This window comes from Homo sapiens, chromosome 3 (genome assembly GCF_000001405.40).
Source record: "Homo sapiens chromosome 3, GRCh38.p14 Primary Assembly".
Lineage (NCBI taxonomy): Eukaryota > Metazoa > Chordata > Mammalia > Primates > Hominidae > Homo > Homo sapiens.
In genome coordinates this window covers 139,104,057-139,125,648 of record NC_000003.12, presented here as the reverse complement: position 1 = coordinate 139,125,648, position 21,592 = coordinate 139,104,057, and the positions used below count along the sequence as shown (strand labels likewise).

The window sequence follows — 21,592 nt, the reverse complement described above, 5'->3', positions numbered from 1 at the left end:
CTCAAAGCTGTACTTTCTACTTCTTTCTTGAGCACATTCCATTTATTAAGCACCTGTTACATGGCAGGCGCTGTGCTAGGTGCATGACAAGCATTATCTCATTTAATTCTTCCAAGGACATTTTAAGATGTTTTGTATATGAGGAAATGAGGCACAGAGCAGGTAAGTCATGTGCCCAGTGTCACACAGCCATTATATGGCAGAGTCAAAAATTGAAGAGAGGTCTGTGCATCTCCAAAGCCCACACTCTCATTTCTGCCTCTTGCTGCCATGACCCCCACGCTAAACCGTCTAGATAAATGACCCTGTAAGGCCAACACAATGTGCACTCAGAGTAATGAACATGAGCCCTTTCTCATCAGTACTTTAATGATGTTTCCTAAGCTGTAGCAGTCCAATTTCTACCTCCACAATGTTTGCAACATCCACATACCTTTTCCTTTTACATTATCTCCCAATTGCTTTCATCAAATCATCTCACTTTTTTGACTGAACTTTATTTTAAAAGGAAACCTTCTGCATTATCACAGTTCATATCACTTGCTATAATTAATTAAATTTTAAATACATAATAATTAAATTTAAAAGGCCATCTGAATATCACTTAAAATCAGCTTGTGCACTACATGCTACATACCATGTCTAGTGAAGCTCTGCTATAAACATCATTTTCTCATATGTATGTATATATTTATATATATATAGAACTTTTATTATGGAAATTTTTATGAACAGTTTCAAAGCAAATGTGAAAAGAATAGTGTAATAAACCCACGTACTGATCACTCAACTTCAACATTATCAACTCACACCTACTCCTGTTTCGTCTGTACCCCAACCCACTTCCCCAACCTCCCTATTATTTTAAAGCAAATCTGAGACATCGTATCATTTCATTCACATATACAACAATCTTGATAACAGCAAACATGTGAAGAATGTTTGCTAGATGCCAGACAGGTAAAGCATAGCAAATGCACACTCATATATCTACAGTCACCACAACCTTGAGACTCTTAACCCATCTTCATGGTGGAGGGAAAAGGAAAGTGGAAGCATAGGCACAAAGGCAACTTGCCCAAGGTCCCACAGCTGGTAAGTGGCATAGCTGGCACTGAACTCAAGCAGTCCATGCCCTTAACCTACAACACTGTTTCTTGGCCTAGGTGAATGCAACATGCTTTTCCCTTTGCATAGAGCTGGCCCAGAATGAGTTTCCTGGAGTTGGTGTGCAGAGCCCATCATCTTTGCTGTCCCATCTCGGCACCCTGGCCACATCACCATCAGGTTACCAGAGAGGAGCTGCTGCCTTGAGACATGAGGCAGGAAGGGTGGACACTGAGGTCCCTGCAGCTTCTGCTTGGGGCAGAATGTGGGCCCAGCATGTAAGGCACGAGCTCCTGGGCTGGGGGTATTAAAGACAGTGTGTTGCAGCTGATACAGATACAGAAGTTGACCCTTGATAATCATTTAGTACTTGACGCCATTGCTCTTCTTTTCAGCCGACACCATCTTCACACAGGCACTGATTTCTCCAAGGCCTTGTTTCCTGAGAAGGTGGCTGCTGCCTAGGTTGGCCTTGACTGCACTGGGATTGGGCAGGGAGGAATGCCTTTTGTCTTGTTTGAAACCCTCCACATTCATTTGCTTTCAGCAGCATGCAGAGTCCTGGTTTAAAGAGGGGGTGAGAGGGCTTAAATGTCTCCGAAGGTTTCTGAGACACAGGATTTCTCAAGAGAGAAAGGGTGATGATTTCAGAGTAAAGGAATCAAAAGCACATGTACTGCCTTTCTCCACGCATACAGAGTGGCTTAAATACGAAGGGAAGAAAGCGTTAGGAAAAACAGTTTTGAGTTTCGTTGAACCAACATTGGAAAAATGCAGCAAGACCCTTTCCAAATCCAAAGCAGAACCGTGTCCTTCCACCTCTGTGGAAAACTCTTCTGGTCTGGAAACCAGGTCTCCTGGGGCTGCCAAGAGTCTCCAGCCTCGGCAGAGTACCTCCCCCTACTTCCTCTGACAGAGAAGCAGATGGTCTCAAAGCCACCCTCCCTAACCCAAAAGCCCATTGAAGGGGGGCAGGGAGACTGTGCCAAGGCTGGCAATTCCCCTCGGCAGAATCTTCTCTTTCCTTGTCTCTGGTGCCCAACAGAGGCAAGAATGTGTGCGGGCCCTTGGCTGGGTAGGTTCCATTAGGAAGCAAGGAGCTAAACAGGTTCAGAGGCTCTCCAGGGATGTGTGGGGTTTTGGGGAAGGATTTCGTATTCTGGCTTTCTAAACCAACCTCTCCCCCTCCCTCTTTCTCCTCCCTTTTCCAGACACTAGTAACCACTATTCTACTTTCTGCTTCTACGAGATCAACTGTTTTAGATTCTACATAAAGTCACCAATCAAACTCGACCCAAAGAGGATGAATGTTTATTGTAAGGCTGCATGTAGGTGCTCAGCCAGGCCCCATAAACAACAAGAGTTACCTTCAGGAGGCCACTGTTTTCCCATGGTTCTGACATTCTCATGACCTGGTGTTCCTCTGTCTCCTCTGGTTGCTATCAGCTGCCCTCTCAATAGTCCCTACTATCCTGTTATCCCATTGCTTCTAAAACTCTTGATTTCTGCCTTTTATCTGCCTGCCTGCTCTCAACTATCTCTCTTAGGTACCACAGAGGAGAGGATCTGATCGGGCCCATTAACCACAATACCAAACACTGAGTTTCTATTAAACAGCATCCTGCAACAGCCCATCTCGCTGGCCTTTGAGGGGCTGCCTTTGGCTGGGCCTCAATGCCTGATCCAATCAGTTGTGGCCAGGAGGCAGAGACATACAGTTAATCTCAAGGCAACCAATACACAAGCAGCTACCTCCAGCCACTTTGTTTAGACCAGGGACATGGAGGCAGAAGGAGAATGGAAAGTCCACTTCAGCACCCTATGTTGCCCTAAACCTTGAAACAAAGGCCCAGTGGTCCTTGGCAGAGTATCAGAGGCTACCAATGAAAGGGCATCAGAGGCTAACAATAAAGCCTCAGCCTAAGAGAGGGGTGCGTGTGCGTGTGTGTGTGTGAACAGCAATGCTGAGTTTCAATTAGGTAAACCTGTTTTGTAACATGGTCTAGCCTTTTAAATCCCAACTGTCATGGAGGCCTCTGCTTTCCAGGAAGTTATTCCCATCAGCAGTTATTTCTGCAATCGTGATTGTTATGAAACCCTTTATTTTGAAAACACATTTCAAAACAAGGCTTCTTTCACATTCAGCTTTCTCTGGTCCACTAGGAGCAAAATGGTGCAGATATTTCCCTGTGGCCCATATACTTGTGTGTTATCCCGGTGGGCCATTCAAGTCCCAAAATCCATCTTGTAGTCACCACGGAAAAATGCAGAGGCATGCTGTGGGAGGATGCATGTCAACTCATCCCAAACACTCCCTTCAGCCAGCTCCCTGCCCCACACGTGGCAGAGCCATGACACAACGGCCTGTTCCTCTGAGAGTAATTTATTATGTAATTAAAAGCTTTTTCATCAAAGTCAATTTCTAAAGCAATCACTGGGATAGTATCAATTAGGAAACACTAACAGAGAAGGAGCTGGGCCCTGATGTCAGGGCTCATGCCCTTAAGAGTTTACATAAGTTTTCAGATGCTCGTGCCAGGGACCCTGACAGAATGCTGGGTAAGAAACAAACAGCACATGCTCTTCAGGCTTCAGTGGACCTTTCTGGAGAAGGTCTGTTCCCACAGGCCAGGCTCACAAAGAACCAGGGTGAAGTGATGGAAAGAAATGGGCTTTGAGATGACACCAACATGGATTCTAATCCCTGCTCCAACTGTTACCAGCTGTGGGAACTTGGGCAAGTCAACTAACCTCTCCGAACCTCAGTTTCTTCATCGGAGGAATGTTTATGATACTACCAACCTTCCAGAGCCCTGTGACGGTTAGAGATAAGATGTGCAAACATTGCGAAACAGTGCTGGCACACGGTAAGCATTCTGTGTGGAAGCTTAATAGTGTTATCATCTGCCTTCCAACTTCAGTGTGAGTTTTGACTCTACTGGCTCTTCAGTGGCATGGTCTGCCCAGGAGTCTCTGGAGAAGCAAAAGTCCTTTCCTCAGGCTGCTCAGCAATCACCAGCCACAGAGGGTTTTCCCCATCCCTCCTGGGTCCCGTTCACAATGGGTTTGGTTCAGAAAACTCCCCCTAAGCATAGGGCTTACTTGCTGAAAGAGCTCACTCTGAAAAGAGGTGATAGACAGGCAAGTCTATCACCTGATCAGGGCAGGTGATATTGCACCGCCTGACCAGGGCAATGAGAAATGAGTGGCACTGATGTTTTGGGAAGCACAGAGGCAAGATCAGGGAGAGCCTCCTGGAAGAGGAGACAGAGGGGTGAGAGGAGAAGTTTCCAAACAATGGGATGGGAGGAGCACAGGCTGAGGTGATGAGGTGGGAGCTGTGGGCAAGACCAGGTCTCCAGCTGCAGAGTTAAGGAGCTCACTCTCCAGGTGCAGGTTTGGGAAGATGACTCCAGCCCAAGTGAGGAAAACAGACTGGGCAGGTGAAACTCAGAAGAACGCAGAGGCAGCCATCCAAGGAAGGAGGGCAGCTTGGTGGCCCACTGACAGTTGAGCCAGGCTTATCTGTACTGTGCAACCAGAAGGAAAAACCAATTTGACAAATGGAAAAACCCTCACGTGTAGGAATCAAGTTACCTAGCATACCTAGCACACAAGTTGGATATCCCACAGCCCTTCCCCTGGCTGCCCTCCTAAGGCAAGCCCCCATGGGCCAGCCAAGCTACCCCAGCCCATGCTGTGGGCCACTATACTGTATACTGCAGGGGCAGGATGTGGTCAGGAGAGGCCAAGATGGGCCTCAGGAAACAGCAGGGGAAACACTGCCACATCTGACCCAACACAACTGTCAGCTGGCTGAGCCATCCACTCCGTCAGGCCCAGGCCAGACCTTCCCCCATCTCGGAAATGACACAGAACTCTCCTTGCTATCCTTCTGCCTGCCACTACTATGGGCTGAGCGAGCCCCCCGCCCCTCAGCCAGATGTCCACTCGCTCCTGCCTGATGACAGAAGTGCTGACCACAGCCATCTAGGTTGTACACTGTGTACCCCAATGCCCCACCCACGAACTTGGTGTTGGAAACTAGTTCCCTGGTGTCGATTTTCATGACTGGTCATCTAATGACTTCACTGTGCCTCTAACCATGCTGAGATTCCAGAAGGTTGCCATGGTGACATGCTACAGGCCTGGCCTAGACTGAGAGGCCTTGGGGACAGAGTGGGTTATGAAGCCCTGATGAAAACAGAGCCTAGGGTGGAGCACTGAGCAGCTCCCACCGGCTGGGCCAAGGAGTGCTTTGCACTCTCCAACCCTGCTCTCATCTGTGGCACAGTGAGATAAGCTGTACCCACTGCCCATGCAAAACCAAGCTGTCTGCCTCAACTCATGATGCAAAAGGGAAAATGTACCCAGTTGTCCCTCCACCCCATTAGAACCAGAAATGCATAATTTGTACATTGTAGACTTTAGAGAACATATAAAGAAGCAATGCCAGACCTGTGCAATTTAAACACACACATGTAGCCACTCTTCTCATTGCTCACTCCTGGACCCTGCCTTTCTTTCACCATTCCCCCATCCTGGACAACACCTCCCTTTCCCTTACTTTATATGAGCATTGGACAAGACTTAAGCTGCTCCTCCTACCTGAGACCTCCTTAACTCTGGTCCACACTGCCTTTCCCCTTTCCTAAGCTGCTACCAAATACACTTCTGAGCACTGGGTGTCAGCAGTTGGTCTCCTAGTGTATCCTGCCTCACAGCTTGGTTTCCCTATACACTTCACAGGTGTTGCATCTCCCTCTCTCACTCAGAACCCAGCACAGGGCCAAGCACATAGTAGGCACTCCATGCAGATTTTTCTGACATGTAACTGCCAACCTTTAGACTGCAGCCACAAGGTAGCAGTTTAGAAAATATCTCTGAGAACAGCCAGGTCAGCCCCCTTCTGGGAGATGCAACAACCCCTGGGGCACCAGAACCAGGAGTCAAGGAAGAGGTCTGAGCCCCTGCAAAGGGCATCCAGTCTCCGGCCCCAGTGCCCTGGCAGAGTTATGCAGCCTCAGCTGAACTTGCCCATCACCACATTCCCACCCACTCATCCCTGGGCCAGGCCCCCAATCTCAGGCTGACCTTGGGGCTGTGTGCCAAGAAACTGACAATGGCACTGGGCAATCCTAGCCAAGTTCAAGTTCATGTGATGGGCTATTACAGTAAGGGGGCTCATGGGAACTGGATGGGAGCCTCAGAAAAGGGGAGCCCAACACCTTTGAAGAAGGTGGTGGCCTTTCCATTAAAGTAGCCCCCAAGCTAGAGACCTGGCCTCCATCATGCTTGGCCCCTCACTCCTCATCATGCTGCACATTCAATCATCCAACCAATACATCCTGTCAGTGGCATCCAGTTCTGCACCCTCCACCTGACCTCCATGGCCACAGTCCTCCTTTCAGTCACCCGGGTAACGACCACAGCCTCCTCATGGCCCCAGCCCCCAGCCTCACTCCCTCCATTCCATATTGTCAGCTCTCAAAAACTTAAAGCTGCCCCATTGCTGTCCATAGGATGGAGTCTGAACTCCTTAGTCTTGCTCACAAGCCTGGCCTGTAACCTGCGAGGCTAAGAACCTGCCTCTCTGTGCTGCCTCCCACTGCCTCCATCCACGACTCAAGGTTCCAATCACACTGAACACTTGCAGGGCCTTGACTGGGCCATATTCTGTCTTAATTTGGGACCTCTGCAAAGGACACATAGACACTTAGACACACACAACTTCACCAGGTACTATCCTGATGTCTCCTCAAATGTCCTTCCCTGAACCCCTGGGTTGCACTAGATGTCTCCCTTCTATGTGTTCCAGGGTTCCCCATGCTACCATACCCTTTCTCCGTGAGTTGAGCTCACAGAGGTAGAAACAGATGACGAGATGACTGGTGGGCTGTGCTGGTCTCTGCCAGATGAGGACACAATCAAGCCTTTGGTCAAAGACATGCCATCTGTGTGACCAGGCCTGTCTTCACTGGGCTCAGAGAACCAAAGAAACTGGGCTGGTCTAGGCAGCCAGACTGCAGGGCTCCTTGCTCCATAGAGATGCCACGACTAAAGCTTCTCCCCACTCCTCAGCGCCTCCCTTTCTACCTGGAGGACCCAGCCAGTTCCCACAAGGGTGTAACCAGAGCCTGCAGGTTCCTGCAGGAACTCTACTAGATGAACAGTTACTGACAGGAAAGGCTTGAGAACATTCTGGAAAGAAGACATTCCTGGTCTAGAAATCCTATGTACTGTTAACTCTCTCTGGGAAGAAGAAAGGGCTGCGGGTCATGCCAACACCCAGGAGTCTCCTTTGGACATCCCATTAATAGAGTGGGGCTCCCTAGGAATGCATTTGCTGCTCTGCTGATCCAGAGGGATATTCCACCAAACCACCCACCCCATCCACCCCCAAGACAGCAGCCCCAGTCCAGGGGACCTTACAGTGTGCATGCCCCTGTGAGTGGTTCTTCCTCCTGACCCATGAGTATGGCTCAGCTCTGTGCTGGGCAGGGGGAAGCCAGCATGCTGGGTTTTTGTCTGCAGGAGAAATCTCCCCACTGCCCACCCATGGTCCACAAACAAGAGGCTCCTAAGCTTTCCAATGACCAGGATGGAGAGACGTCAGTTAGTCTCTGTGACGGTTTATTTTATGTGTCAACTTGGCTGGGCCATGGTACTCAGATCTTTAGTCAAACATGTCTGCTTGTTGCTGTGAAGGTATTTTTAGAATGATGTTAACATTTAAATCACTAGACTTTGAATCAAACAAATTACCTTCCCCGATGTGAATGGGTCTCATCCAATCAGTTGAAGGCCTTAGACTGACATCCCCCAAGGAGGAGAAAATCTGCCAGCAGACTGCCTTCAGACTCAACTGAAACATCACCTCCTCCCTGGGTCTTTAGCCTGCAGCCTACTTGCTCTCTCTTGTCTGTCTCTCTCTCTCCCCCTGTGTGTATGTGTATACACATACACACACACACACACACACACACACACAGTCATGCATTGCTTAACAACAGGGATACTTCTAAAGAAATGCATCATTAGGCAATTTTATCATTGTGTGAACAGCATCGAGTGTACTTATACAAACCTAGATTGTATAGCCTGCATGGTGTATCAGACATCTAGGCAATGTGGTATAGCCTATTGCTCCTAGCTACAAACCTGTATAGCATGTTACTACACTGAATACTGTAGGCAATTGTAATGCAACAGTAAGAATTTATGTATCTAAACATAGAAAAGGTACAGTAAAAATACCCTATAAAAGATTTAAAATGTTTGCTTACCCTGAACAGAGCCTGCAGGACTGGAAGTTGCTCTGGGTGAGTCAGTGTGTGGGTGGTGAGTTAATGTGAAAGGCTAGAATATTACTGTACACTATTGTACACTTTATAAACACTGTACACTTAGGCTATACTAAATTTATTTTTTAAACTGTTCACTCTTCAATAATAAGTTACCCTTAGCTTACTGTAACTTTTTTACTTCATAAACTTTTCAATTTTTTAACTTTTTGACGCTTTTGTAATAACACTTAGATTGGGCTGGGCGCAGTGGCTCAAGCCTGTAATCCCAACACTTTGGGAGGCCGAGGCAGGTGGATCATGAGGTCAGGAGTTCAAGACCAGCCTGTCCAAGATGGTAAAACCTCATCTCTACTAAAAATACAAAAAAATTAGCCAGGCATGGTGGCGGGTGCCTGTAATCCCAGCTACTCGGGAAGCTGAGGCAGAGAATTGCTTGAACCTGGGAGGCAGAGGTTGCAGTAAGCCGAGACCACACCACTGCACTCCAGCCTTGGTGACAGATCGAGACTCCATCTCAAAAAACTGTGTATATTATATATAATGTAAAATAGCCTCAAGCAGGTCCTTCAGGAGGAATTCCAGAAGAAGGCATTGTTAATGTAGGAGATGACAGCTCCATGCATGTTACTGCCCCTGAAGACCTTCCAGTGGGACAAGATGTGGAGGTGGAAGACAGTGATATTGGTGACTCTAACCTTTTGCGTGTGTTCGTGTCTTAGTTTTTAACAAAATAGATTAAAAGGTTAAAAAAATTAAAAACAGAAAAAGGCTTACAAAATAAGAATATAAAGATAGAAAATATTTTTGCATCGCTGCACAGTATGTGTGTCTATGTATATTTATATATATTTATATATTATATATATTATTTTTTTCTATTTATATATTATATAAATATATATATTTATATATTATATATATTATATTATATTATATTATATTTAACATTTAATATATTATATTATATATAATATATAATATATTATATATATTTATATAATATATTATATATTATATATTTATATTATATATTATATATTATATATTTATATTATATATTATATATTATATATTATATATATTTATATAATATATAAATATAGAAAATATATAATATTATAAAATATATTATATATTTATAATATATAATATATTTATAATATATAAATATATAATATTTTATATATGATATATAAATAATATATATTTATAATATATATTTATAATATATATTATATATTTATAATATATAATATATATTTATAATATATATTTATAATATATAATATATATTTATAATATATATTTATAATATATAATATATATTTATAATATATATTTATAATATATAATATATATTTATAATATATATTTATAATATATAATATATATACAATATATATTTATAATATATATACAATATATATTTATAATATATACTATATATTTATAATATATATACAATATATATTTATAATATATAAATATACAATATATATTTATAATATATAATATACATTGTATATTTATAATATATAAATATATAATATATATTTGTAATATATATTTATACATTATTTATATAATATATTATATATATTATATACAATATATATAATATATTATATTATATATAATTATTATATATAATTATTATATATAATTATTATATATATTATATTATATATATTATAAATATATATATTTTTTATTTTATATATTTTTATATTTAATATATATTTATATATATTTAATAAATATATAAATATATAAAATATATATATTATAAATATATATTTTATATTTTTTATATATTTAATATATATATTAAAATACATATATTTTTTAATTTCTATAATATATATTATATAATATATTATATAAAATATAAATATAATATATATATTATAAAATATATAATTATATAATTATAATATAATATATATAATATATAATATATTATATATAAATTATATGTAATATATAATTTATATATATTTATATATATAAATTATATACATTATATGTATTATATAATTTATATTATATATATTATATCTATAATATATATAATATATTAATATATTATATTATATATAATTCATATATATAATATACATAATATAATATATTAATATATTATATTATGTATATTATATATATAAATTATATATAAATATATTATATTTATATATTATAGAAATATAAATTACATATATATTATATAAATTATATATTATATAAATTATATATTATATAAATTATATATTATATATAAATATAAATATATAAATATAAATATATAAAAATTATATATTTATATTTAAATATACATAAAAATATAATATTTTTATATATAAAATATAAAAAAATATTAAAATATATAATATATAATATATAAATATATATTATATATTTATTATATATTTATATATTATTTATATAATATATTATATATATTATATAAATTATGTATATTATATAAATTATATATTATATATAAATATAAATATATAAATATAAATATACAAAAATTATATATTTATATTTAAATATATATAAATATATATATTTTTTAAAAAAATAAATAAAATATATAAATATAAATATATATTATATATATTTATATTATATATAATTTATATTATATATATTATAATGTATATTATAATATAATATATAATATATTATATATTTATATATTATAATATATTATATATTATATATAATATATTATATTGTATAATATATAATATACTATAATATATATTTTTATATATTATATAATTTGTTTTATATATTATATATAAATTATATATTTAAATATAATTAAATATATTATATATATTATATATTATATATAAATTTCATATATAATATATAATTTGTATATATTATATAATTTGTTTATGCCAGTGTCACCACAGACACACAAGTAATGCATTGTGCTTCGACATTATGATGGCTACAGCATCACTAGGCAATAGGAATCTTTCACCTCCGTTATAATCTTATGGGACCAGCATCCTATATGCAGTCCACCATTGACTGAAACATCATTACGCAGCACATCACTGTGTGTGACACACACACACACACACACACACACATTCTATTGACGCTATTGTTCTGGAGAGCCCTAATACAATTTCTCTCCCTGTTCTGGATTCTACCTTGGCCACCCTTTCCTAAGGTGCATGGGTGCATAAACACACACAGATGATACCCACCCAGAAGTAAACTTTAGGTCTTTATTCACCCACAGACACCTGTGGTAAGTCCAGATGATACATACAGTTGGAAATGGGTACAAGGTCCTGGACAAGGTGACCTCATGCCAGTCCTCCCTCAGACTAATTTACAGATGGCAGCCTCCCTGACGGCAGGCAGGTGGGGTAAGTGCTCTGCCACCTACTGAGTGCATATTCTTGGACATGCAACTTGACTTCTCTGAGCCTTAGCTTTTTCTTCTGGAAAATGGGGATAATAATACTATATGTGTCACTGGATTATTAGAAGAATGAAAGGAGATAGAGTGCCTAACGCAGCTCATCGCTACTCCCAACAGGACAGTTCCAGTAATTCAATGTTATTCCCTCTTATGGTACACACCCATGTCCACACTGTCCAATCTATAAACAAAAAGACTGTTAAACAGGGCTTACGGTTCGCTTCACAGAGGCCTCAGGAGAAGTCTCCATGCTTGCTTTTAAATCAACTCTTTGTTCCCACACAGACTGACCACCGTTATCTCCTTTGACTCTCACTGCATCATGCAGTAGCAGGTGGCTAACCCCATGCACCAGGAAGGAAAGTGAAGCACAGGCACAGCCCATGACACACTTTGTGTGAGATGAGCTGGAACCTGCAGCTCCTGGCTCCAACTCCTAAGAACTCCTCTACTCAGCAGGGCTCTGCAGGTTCCCACTGGGTCCACTTGTGCAGAAGGGATTGTGAGGCCGCCCATGCCAGAGGCAGCTCCCTGCACCCTCAGGAAAGGCTTCCTTACCTCTAACCCAGACCTTCCTGGTCTGCTCAGCCTGCTTCTTTGGACTTAACTGGAGCTGCCACCCTTAACCACATCTATTCCATGTCTCTGTTCTTGTATTCTCCCAAATATCCAGAGCCCAGTTTCTTTCCTTTCTTCTCTCTTAAGATTTATTCTCCAAGCTTCAGCCTTACAAATCTGCCCTAGCCAGAATCTTCTGGGGACACAATAAAAACACAAACAGTTCTTCACTTGAGGCTTTCTCTTGGCAACCATGTGTAAAGACTCCCAAACAACAGATAAAATAAGTTAATCTGGTATTTAGGACATTGTCTGAACATGGAACTGGACCAACTGGAGAGGCAGGGTGTGTCCAGAAGGACACAGGCAGGGTGTGTCCAGAAGGTGGTCAAGAACCTGCCTTCTACTCTTCTCTCTGCTACTACCCAGGTGGGCTTGGGCAACTCATTTTGCCTATTTGTGCTTCAATGTCTCCAGTTATGAAATAAATGAGTGAGTTGGATAGAGTTGGATAATTTCTAACGTCCTAAATATCTAGGATTCTCTGACATACTGGTTCATCCTCATATATAAGTTATCACTTACATAAGGAAGAAATCTATATCATGGGTGTTACTCTTGTCCCAAGCCTCTGGCAGACATCACTGGTTGACAACAGCATTCTTTCCTTCTAAGACAGACCCAGCCTCAGAAGCTTTCTCTACAGAGCACTCCAGTAGCTACTACCAATCAACCAGTACAAATAAATACAACTATTTGTATTAGAAACATTCAAGACCCTAAAAGCTTGTCCTCATCAGGATCCTCCAATACTGCCCCACCCAGGTGTGGGGCCTGCTGGGGCTCTGCAGTGTCTCTGAGGCTGGATTTCAGGACTCACTCGTCTCCCACAGATGTCTGGACCATCAGGCAAGCTGGACCTGTCCTGGTCACTCCATAACTCCCTGGCATCTGGTGCCCACAACCCAGGACCCACAGAAGCCTTGGAAGATGTCTCAGAAGCAGAAACTTCTGTCCTAAGGAAAAATTCCAGAGAAGTGGAGGCACAAAGTGTGGGCCAGGGCATTGCCAGACCCACCCCAGGGCTGCCCAACACACACACGCACACCACACCCACGCTCTCTGTCCAGCTCAGGTATTCACGCGTGCACACACACACACACCCGGAGAAGAGCTCCGGGGTGAAAACGTCCTGCAACAGTGCCATCTAGTGGGAGCCGGGGTCTGTCCTGCCCTCACAGGTTTCCTCCGCGAGCCCCAGGGAGATGGTCTTAAGATCCAGAGATGTGAAAGTTGTGGCTGCTTCTTGTGAAGAAAAATACAAAATAAGCAATAACGGGAGACTCTGTCTACCTTGGGATGTCTCACTGCCCCCCTCAATTCGCACCTGTACACAAGGCTAACTGGCCCAACCACCACCATCCCTCTATCTACAACACATCCCCAAATCCCTGCTCTCTGCCTTCAGCCCTGTGAAATTCTGGCCCCCTGGGGTCCTGCTACAGCCCCTTCTACCCCAGCATATGGTCTCTGACTCAGTCACACATTTCCAGGAAACATGGGGAGGACTCTAGCCAGATTCTAGCTCAGCTATTCCCCAGTTTTGTAGTTTCCTACATCCGAACCTCAGTTTACTCTTCTGTGAAATGGGAGAATGTCTTTGTGACTAGGTTGCTGTGAAGATTAAACAGCCTTTTCCAGAAGGTCTCTGGCTGTGATGCCTGAAAAATCCCAGCAGCACCAAGGAGGTTCACAGCTCTAAGATGGTCAGGAAGGCTATTTGCTAGAGGCCAGGATAGTTCTCAACCCTACAGGGGATGGAAAACCCAGACAGTCCCTCTCCCTCAACACTGGGAACTCTGCCCCATCCCTCTTACATGGGTGGGGTAAGACCACATCCTTTTAAATAATTAAATACAACATAGGATCCCAAGCAGGAGAACCCCTCCTTGCCTTTTAGAGACTATGGGAAGATCTGTCAGAGCTTAATGCTTTCAGGCTGGGCGCAGTGGCTCACACCTGTAATCCCAGCACTTTGGAAGGCCAAGGCAGGAGGATCACTTTGAGCTCAGGAGCTTGAGACCAGCCTGGGCAACATGGCAAAACCTCATCTCTACAAAAAAAATTCAAGCTGGGCATGGTGATGCACACCTGTATTTCCAGCTACTTAGGAGGGTGAGGTGGGAGAATCACTTGAGCCCAGGAAGTGGAGGTTGCAGTGAGTTGAGATCGTGCCACTGCACTCCAGCCTGGGTGACAGAGTGAGATCCTATCTCAAAAAAAAAAAAGGAAAAAAAGAACTTAATGCTTTCAGGTTCAAATGTTTCCAGCCAGTGTAACAGAGCAGAAATACTATCACTGATCATGGCAGAGGACTTTAAGAGGAGGAAGAGCATTACTAATCCCTCCTCAGCAAAGGAGACTTTTCCCAGGGGTCTGGGAGACTAGCTGTACACAGAGGGCTTCTGTAAGGAAGCCAAGGGACAAGGAGGCCCTGGAAGCCAGGAGGCTGCTGTGGCTGAACAGGAGGAGATGGAACAGTGTTGCTGATTCTGCAGCCTGAGGATGATGACACCCCAGGCTCCAGAATACAGTGTCCAGCCACGCTGCCTGCTTGCAGAGGAAATGAAACCCTGCCCATTCTTCATACCTGTAGGAAGGGGAAGAAGCCTTAGGTGGTGCTCCTAAATGGCCTGTGTTGCTAGGGAAGGACCGCTGGATACTGAAGCAACCACGTCCAAACTCAACTTCAACGCTCATTCATTCGCTGCATGGGTGGGGGCCCAGAACACAAGCAGCTTCTCAAAAGGAAGCTTCGTGGCTAGGCAAAAGCTGAAAGACACCTCCTGAAAGTGAAAACGTAACCAGCAAATCTAATAAAGTCGGCCCCAGTGAGAAACCTGCAAAGCAACCAAGATGACATGAACAGCAACAGCCAGGCCCTTCCTGCGCCGGGGGCAGGTGCCAACAGCATCAAAGTCCTGTGGGCCAAGGGCCAAGAGCATCAGAATCTGGCAGAAGAGACAATTCCTCTCTAGACTTGGCAGATCCAGTCTCCCAGTGTGAACCTGCCTTTTGGCCTGAGAGCCAGCAGCCCCAGCCTACAGATACAGTGTCCTTGCCTCTACCTGAACTTAATTCAAACCATTCTGCTCAACCCTAATTTGGAGCTTTTATTAGGTTTTAAGTTACACTATATATGGCACAATAGAAATATTTTTTCAGTGTTAAATTGGAAACATACCACAAGAGGATTTTTTAAAGCCTTTTACAACATTGTAGACTGAAATGTCTTCAACTCTCCAACCAAAATCTAACCAAGGTAACCTTCACAGGAAAAACTTTGATATCAAGAGAGGTATGTATCCTCTGGAATGTGCTTTTCTTCCTCTTTTCCAAAAGCAGTCAACAATATTCCTCTAATCAGTCTGCGGTGTGTTAGCATTGAAAGTAGGCATACTCTGGGGGTATTCCCAGGAGAAATAATGGCAGATATAGGCAGAATAAAATCACCATGCCCCCTGGCCTTTCAAATGAACATGTCCATCACCACCATCTGTCATATAAAGTGAGGCCTGGAGAGCAGGTCGTGCTCCGAATGGATCAGGCTAGGGTTCCTTGCTTGCCTCACACTTGAAGCACTCTGTACAGGAGACCATTTCCGTGGCAAGAGAGGGGCTAGAGACCAGGACACAGATGGTCTAAGCTCCAGGTGGCCCAGAAGTGCTTATGCTAAGAAATGCTTGGGCTGCCCCGCTAAGAGCAGCTCCTCCACCTAGCACTCCTCACACTCTTAGATGAGGAGCTCCGGGAGCTCATTTGCATCCTGGCTGTAGCCCTGCTGAACATCATAAGGACAGCCTGTTGAAGGACACAGACTCAGGCATATGACCTGGCACATGGCAGAGTCCAATACCTACCTTTGACATTTTGGACCCAACTTGGAATTTTTGAATGATTATAGTTGTCTTTTGAAGAAAATCAAGGCAATGAATAAGCGGCAGCTGATAAATGCTGGGAGAAAGAAACATGACAATCATGAGAATATGCCTATATTTGACCCATACAGAGCAAACTAATTTCCTTTAATTATACCAAGAAACCCTGAACTCTAAAGCCAGAGCATCACTCTCCAAGGTTGCTCTTCACCCCTGTGATCTGACCCTTTTCTCAAGGGCAGAGCAGCTGGCCAACTTGATGCCACTGATACCACAATAGAGGCACTGCAAGCACAGGTCCAGGAGGACAAATGGCCCCTCTGGAGAACTGGGACAGGGTGGGTTCATTCCTCAGTGCACTGGGTAGGATGGGGCTGTGTTTGCTACCAACCCCATAAGCCAACTGGTCAAGTGACAAATGCTGAACAGAATAAAAACAATCTGGCCCCTCCAAGCACGGGGCCTGAGGTTGCACAGGCACCTCTGAGAGGTCCCATTTGAGGATGTGCCCAGCCCACAGCTCTGCCCATGACCCCTCTAATCCTGGGGCTTCCCATATGCCACAGTCAGCACTGGGTCTGGTCCCTGCTCACTGCTGTGGGTATGGATCTTGGTGCTGTGGGAGGCTCCTGTGGGGCTATGGAAACTACACCCTCATGGAATGGCAAGGGATGTGCACAAGCCATGGGCCCGAATGCTGTATCATTTGGACACACATTCCAGGAGGAATTCCAAGCAGAAAAAGGCTTTGGGCTGGGAAAGGCATAAAGAGCTCCCAGAAAGACAGGCCTAGAGTTGGGCCTTGACTGATGGGCAGAAAAGGGAACGTATTTAAGGCAAATGGTATCCGGCCACTGCTAAGACATGGAGATGGGGATGACACAGTGTGTTCAGCAACAGCCACTGTGGGACAAGGCTTGCCCTTGGAGAGGAGCAGGAATAAGTAAAATTTCATCCTCCCAACTTCACTCCCTGGTGTGTCTCCATCACTGAGAGTCCCTTGAGGGTTATCTTCAGATCTAAATGCCACCTGGCAGAGAGAGCAGGCTGGGCTGCTGGAGGAGTGCTGAACCTCCCCTCCTGGCCCAGGCTGAAGGCTTTCACAGCGACTGAAGACTTGGGAGAAGCCGGCTAGTCCCACTGCCCTCTCCCCCACAATCTCGGGTGGCTGCTTCTCCCATTGATAACTCCCTGAGATCAGGTTCGCTCTGCCCTGCTTCCAGACGTAGGGGTCAGAGTGAGCCCTGGGCCTTGGGCACAGCCCCCAGATGCTGAGCAGGTTGAAACCAGACTGGGGCCCAGCCCCCTGCCTGCCCTCGGCCTTGGGAATATCACTGCCCAGGATGGAAACCCAGGGAGCCCCACTGCATTAGAAGGCGGGGGATGGAGCAGTTCAGACCCCTAATGTCAGGAAAAAGTGCTGGTCTGGCTTTCACCTGACCCCTACAAGAGGAAAAGGCCAAAGGTCTGAAGTGGCCCATGGCAGGCACAGCAGCCCCCCAGCTTCTGGGATCTGCCGGGCCTCAGTCTCTTGCTACAGCACCAGTCTCCCTTAACCAGACTCAAGCGGCATATCTGTTAACCCAGCTCACACCCCTCCACTCAGTCCCTCCTACCTCCTTCTCTATCAGCAGAAAGGGGCACCTGGGAGCTCATCTGGGGCTGCCGCACATGCTGGGTTCTCAGCCCACCTCCTCCACCTTGCTCTGCCCTAGGCAGGCGCTGCCAGACCCCACTGCATGGAGCGAAGGACAAGAGCGCAAGGGCCCAGTCCCACTCAGCTCATAGCCCCCAGTGACCAGCACAGGACACTAGGAAGGAACCATGAGCCAGATGAGACCAAACCAGCTCCTGCCCCCAAAAAAACCTATCTGGGGAAGCTGTTGCTCCTTTGTGTACATAATGAAGGATGAGCAGATTCCCACTGCCCAGGACAGCACTGGCTTATACCTGTTATCTCTGTCAAATTCACTCTCAAAAGGATTCTACTTGAGATGCTAAATTATGTGGTTACCCTGTTTTACCACTTGCAAGGCTAGCGAGTGCTCAACACAGGATTAGAACCCAGTTCTAATTAGAACCCAGGCTTCAAAGCTCAGGTCCTACCCACTTAGATGTGATGACTAGCAAAGGCTTGAGGGAGGAAGATGGGAAGCAATCTGGGTGGTGCTTCCATAAAGAGGAGCCTACAGGCAGCACAGACAAGAACAGGAAAAATGCTAGAAAATCTCCTATGGCCTGTCACATGGCCACAGGCTGACAGATGAGCAGGAGAAGAAAGAGCCTAAAGGGCAGAGGAACAGTGCTGCAGAGGTGGCAAGCAGCCTGACCCTCAGGGCCGGGAGAGACAGCCTTAAAGACTCTGCCAGTGATCCCTGGCTAAATGCTAAGATGAGAAGAGATGTATTTTCAAGTAATGGTCTGTTGTCTAATGTCTGTTCACGTTGGCATGAACGAAGAGGTTTGATCTCTGGTTAGAAGCTGGCTATCTAGGACAGCAATCAAAGCCGGACATGACAAGTGCTTAAAAAGACGCTGGGTGGGTGGAGGACGACCCATTCTTCCTCTGGAGCACCATGGACATCTGCTGGGCAGGTCATAGGCAGGCCAGGGTGAAATGTGCAGCCTGGAGACTCGGGGAGGCCTGCAGTGGGGCATGCCACTGCACCAGGAGTTTAGGCATTAGCCCCTGCAGCTTGCAGTGCTGGACCCCATAGTAAACTGTGAGGGCTCCCAGGGCAGGGGCACCATGTGGGCAGAGCCCGGGGCACAGGCTGGAGGTCTTGGCCTGAGAGGGAGTGTCACAAAGCCCAAAGAGGCCCCTAAGCCATCTTTCCTGCCCCACTCTGCCTCCATCTCATCTTACCTTAGCTCCTCTGAAAGGTCCTCTGAAATCCCACTGCTAAGTGGCATCAGGATCCCCTAAATTTAATTAGAAGCCCCTGTTATACAGTATCATAGACTCTGCAATATTCTTTTAGCCAAGGAATTTTATCACCATTTATAAATAGAAATGTGTTTGTTTGCTTATTAACTGATTGTCCCCACTATACTGGAAGTTCCAAAGGGCAAGGACTGTGGCTGTTTTATCCAGCAACATATCTCCAGTATCTAGCACACAAAATAAATGTTTGCAGAGAGGCTGAAAGCATGAAGACATGACTGAAATTCCACCATTAGACATTGTTCCTTAGGTTCTTTCACTTATTCAGGCAACCCACCTTTATTGAGCACCCTACTATATGCCAGTTGGGAAAAATAAGATTTAAAACAAAAATTCTTCTAAGATACAAATAAAATGCCCACAGGAGAGTTCACCTCTAAGATACTACCAGTTACATTAGTGGGAATTTGTTTGGTCAGCTGCATTCCAGAGGGATAGCTGGTTCAGAGGAGGGCTTGGAGAGGAAGAACCCTGGCAGAAGAAAGAGAGGATTCTGCATGCGGGGACATGGAAGAGGAAGACAAGCCCGAATGTGGCTCTGGGCAAAGGTGAGAATCTGGGGGCTCGGGGAGTAAACAGGAGGTGCCAAGAGGCTGGGCAGGGGCACACGAAGGGAGGGACCACACAGGGAAGATCCACCTCACCATTACCTAACATCACCTCCAGGACAAGCCCTGCATTACATATTTTCTACACATCAGCCCAATCAATCCTCATAGCCACACCAAGAGGTAAGCAGTGTTATGTCATCTCACAGAGGGGCAGCTGTGGCCGGAGGAACTGAGTGACCTGTCAGAGAACACAGGTGACTTGGATTCAAACACAGGCCTGTTGACACTCAGCCCTTTCCCAGCCCGGGGCTGCTTCCAGGGCAGCCTCCATCCAGACTCTGTGTGGGGACCTTCATGTCAGTAATTACAGGCTACAGCACAGCTTCCGACGCTGGTTTTAGGAAAGTGTGCTTGGCTTTCACCACAGAGAGCAGGAGGGAGCCACCACCTCCCGGGCTAATCTCACCAGTCAAGGCCTCGGGCCTTGCTTCACAATCAAAAGACCTTGAGAATAAAGGGGCAAGGGTGAAGAAAGTAAATAGTACACACACTCTTCACCAATTGCTCTTCCCAGCTTGGGATGGTGGTCAGTGCTGGTCACTAGCCATATCAAAACCAAAGGGCCGGAGGTGGGGGAAGACCCCAACGTGAAGGGCAGAGCCTAGAGGCCCCATTGGTCAGAGAGGGAAGGTTGCTGGGAGGAACTGTGCATAGCAAAAAAAAAAAAAAAAAAAAAAAAAACTCTTTCCCTCCACTCTCTCCACAGAACTCTTGCCCCTCTCAACCCCATCGGTCACACATAAGCAGCTGTGGTGGCAGGGGCAGCAGCAGGACAAGGTAGCTCTCCATTGTCCTGCCTGTCTCCAGACAAGAGTGTTTGTTGAGAATGGGCAGAAAGGCCAGGCCCCAGCTCCCAGAGGGGCTATCAGGATGTGGGGACAGCAGAGGGGATGCTCAGAGAAGCTGGAGCTCAAAGAAATCAACCCAAGGACTGAGCAGCATGGCCAGATCCCATGTTTTGGGATCCCTGCTAGGGAAGCCAAGGCCACACAAGGAAGAGATTTTGTTCCAGCCACAGAGTGAGGAGGGGAGCTCTGGAGCAGGGCCCTCAGGCCTGGATACCTCCACACAGTCCTGCAAATCGTGTTTCTCGTTGTCTGATGGTATCCCAAGCCCACTCCCTCCAAATCCACTGGGTAGAAAAGGGATAAAGAAGGTATGCAAAGGATATGGGGGGCTTGAGTAGCCCCAAGGATGTGTCTCTCCCTCACTCCCAAGATTTGTGATTTGATCTCTTCCTCCCATATTCCATGGATGTGGTCATGGACCGGAAGCTGAGTTCCTAGTCCCACCCACCCTTTCTCAGTCACTGACAGAGAACAAATGGGAGTCCAGAGGAGGGGTGGAGAGAACCCAGGTGCTTGCAGTATGCAGACCTGCATTTAAATTCAGGCTCCATACCTGCTGGCGCTCTGCCCTTAAGTCACCTTGGCTGTTTCCTCTTCTGTAAAACAGGGGACAGTAAAAGCAACTGCTTCAAAGGACTGCGAAAGGACCCAACAGGCCACGTGCCACGAGCACACAGCAACGTGTTCCTCTTCTTCCTTTCTGTGAAGAAACTCCCCTTCCCACCCACCCACCCATGCAGTCCCTTAGCTTTCAGCAAACACCTCTACAGATTCTTCCATCAGTCACAACTTGGCTTCAGCATATAATATCAAGATCCAATAACAATA

The 21,592-nt window shown here is 44.5% G+C and overlaps 1 long non-coding RNA gene across 1 annotated transcript; it reads right to left on the bottom strand.

The window, feature by feature from the left end:
* Nucleotides 1-481: 481 nt before the first annotated feature.
* On the bottom strand, nucleotides 482-21,464 carry BPESC1 (blepharophimosis, epicanthus inversus and ptosis candidate 1). Its single transcript, NR_026783.3, has 3 exons — nucleotides 19,228-21,464; nucleotides 16,344-16,437; nucleotides 482-1,668 (listed from the first exon to the last, which is right to left on the bottom strand). It is a non-coding gene; the product is annotated as a blepharophimosis, epicanthus inversus and ptosis candidate 1 (long non-coding RNA).
* Between the last annotated feature and the right edge of the window lie 128 nt (nucleotides 21,465-21,592).